Here is a 2892-nt window from a genome sequence, read left to right on the forward strand (position 1 = left end):
TCCTCTCAGTTTGCAATCCCAGAGAAAGATGGGGCATCTTTCCCAATGGATTTGTTCACAAAGTCCATTGGTGGCTCTCCATGACCTGGAAATGGTTATAAGTTGATGTTTGTAAAGGAGTCCTAAAGCCAAGAGGTTGGAGAACTGCAGAACTAGATCATCACTAACATTCCTTCCAGTTCTAAAAATTCTAAAATTATTCTAGTATCATTTGTTATCTCCTGGTTGAATTGTAGTAGATTTTATATTTGGAAATAGTAGAATCTGAATCATTACAGCATATTTTATTTATTATGTTGCATAAAATGCTCCCACACAAGGTGCTACGTACTCTTGGAAGCAGGCTGCAGGAGGAGATAACACAGCAGAGATTTCTTCTAACCTTAACATGTTCATAAAGAAGAAATAGCAAAACCAAAAAATTTATCTTCCGATAGAACTGTATTGCCAATAGGATTACATTTTGCGTAGAAATCCTTAATTCGCCAATTGATTTTTTATGTATCTCTCTAATTTATCTGTCCCAAAAGGAAATCTAGCTTAAGGAGGATAAATACACAGGTTCAATTTTTGGGCCAAATTCAGCCAACTGGAGCAGCTGCCAGAATTGCCAGACTGTGAAGGATCTTGAGGACAGAGAGAAATGTGTGTTGATCAGAGACGTGTGCCATGCTTAATTTAGCTTGCCTTCGCCTTCAAGATCTAACTAAAAAAACAGACGTCTTTTATATGCCTATAAGAAACATCATTGGAAGGGGGTCTAAGGATTTTATGAGTCACGTAGAAGGAACTACACAAAAGATAATTTGACAGTTTAAGCAGAAATAAGCAGCACTTATTGAACTAACTTTTTAAAGTAAACCAAAAAGCCACAAATACCTTGTTCATCCATTCAATAGACATTTATTAGAAGCCTCCTTTAGTCAGGTACTATAGCCAGGTTCTTGGGAAACCAAGATTTCTAAAATTTGCTCCATTGTCCCCTGACACCATACAGCCTAAGCTCAAACAGCCTAAAACGTTCTGGGTTTTTTTGTTTTTTTGTTTTTTTGTAAAAGAGACAACCCTGGTGTTACGTAAGGTTTTAAGGGCATGTTGTAGGTTATTGCTACTAAGCAATGAACCTGACCCAACAGAATCAATATTATAGAATTGTCTAACCCAAAAGCAACATTTTAACACCCACAGTAGCTTTCTGTTCCAAGACTCTGTGCATATTTTTGGCATAGGCTCTGAAGGAAATTGTGTGTATACTTTCAATTACCTTTATAGGTACAAATTATCATTTGCTGCTTTCTCTAATGAGAATATGACTTATGTTTCCTTGCCTAAAATGAGACCCATTGTAGTCTATAGTAAACATGTGGCTGGATGGGTTAACATTAGCTCTTAAGCTCTGACAGCTTTTATTCTTCTGTTTTGACATGTCTCACGCCTGCACGTTACAAACAGAAGGAATACCCGTGGTAGTCTTCACACCACTCATGCAGTATGTGATGGATGGTTTCTACACTGTAATTAATATGTTGGATCCTCACTCATTAATGTGGCAAAGAAAAAATAGTAACCCATATTTGACAGTTGCGATCTGACTAGCCAACCTAATTGTGCTGGAAGGGAATAACTGGTGACATTGTTCATGATGAAGTCTTTACTTCCCAAGTCATGGTTGTTATATGGCATGCATTATCTCACCTTGGAGTGGTCTTGCAGAACCTCATTGCAAAATCCTAAAAATGCACAATAAAAGATTTCCAGAATGTTCTCCATTGAGCCAGCTGTGTTTAACTTTGTAGCACTGCTCAGCTATCACAGGGACAGGTATATAAGTAAGCAGCAGGAAAGATAACAATCCATTGGAATAACAAAGAACTTGACTCTTGAATTGTATTTTCTGCTAAAACTTCCCCAGTGGTCTTTGTGTCTGGGATGCTATGTGCTTAGAGGAAAGATCATGGGCTTTGCAATTAAGCAGATGTGGATTCAAATCCTGGTTCCTCATTTACTATGTGCTCTCAGGCAGGATTATTAACCTGCATAAGGCTAGTCCCTCATCTATAAAATTGTGATACTGATGCTTACCTCTTAGTCATAAAGGTTTAATAAAATACTAAATATTCTGTGCTTAGCATCAAGCTGGTGCTCATTTGATGTTTTTTCCTTCCTCTTGGATCTAAACCATCTTGTAGAACTTCCATATTAAGGGACATTTTTATCAGTTCACTAACCTTTTATTGTTCTTTCAATATCTTAAATAACCAAAGGCTAGTTATTTTTATTAACACAAGTGCAGGATGTAACACTGAAACGGAACATTTCTTTTCTTTCTTTTTTTTTTTTTTTTGAGACGGAGTCTCACTCTGTCACCCAGGCTGGAGTGCAGTGGCACGATCTCGGCTCACTGCAAGCTCCGCCTCCCGGCTTCACACCATTCTCCTGCTTCAGCTTCCCGAGTAGCTGGGACTACAGGCGCCAGCCACCACGCCCACCTAATTTTTTGTATTTTTAGTAAAGACAGGGTTTCACCCTGTTAGCCAGGATGGTCTCGATCTCCTGACCTCGTGATCTGCCCGCCTCAGCCTCCCAAAGTGCTAGGATTACAGGTGTGAGCCACTGCGCCCAGCTATCATTTTTAACTCTGTTATGTTTAACATTATATCCATGATGATTGTTTTTCCTCTCTTTTGCCCCTCTGCTCTTTTAAATAGACAAGCACTCAAGAAGTAGCTATTTATTTCTCACCTTTTCTGCCAGTGGGGTGACTTATTCTGTGCTCAATTGAGACAGAAAAGAACGAATATTTGTTCCTTCCTTCTACCCAGTTTATAAGACTCATCTGTCTTCTGGTCATTGACTCCAGCTGCTGCTATGAGCCATTGCTGGACAGAGTGG

General features: G+C 39.0%; 1 annotated feature.

Annotated features, from left to right (window-relative positions):
- Positions 1619-2174: an enhancer, noted in NCBI's record as "NANOG hESC enhancer chr3:69655392-69655947 (GRCh37/hg19 assembly coordinates)". NCBI's record gives its function as "activates a minimal SCP1, AML or CMV promoter by ChIP-STARR-seq in naive H9 embryonic stem cells {active_cell/tissue: H9 hESC(naive)}" and the evidence as "EXISTENCE:reporter gene assay evidence [ECO:0000049][PMID:30033119]".

This window comes from Homo sapiens, chromosome 3, assembly GCF_000001405.40.
Source record: "Homo sapiens chromosome 3, GRCh38.p14 Primary Assembly".
Lineage (NCBI taxonomy): Eukaryota > Metazoa > Chordata > Mammalia > Primates > Hominidae > Homo > Homo sapiens.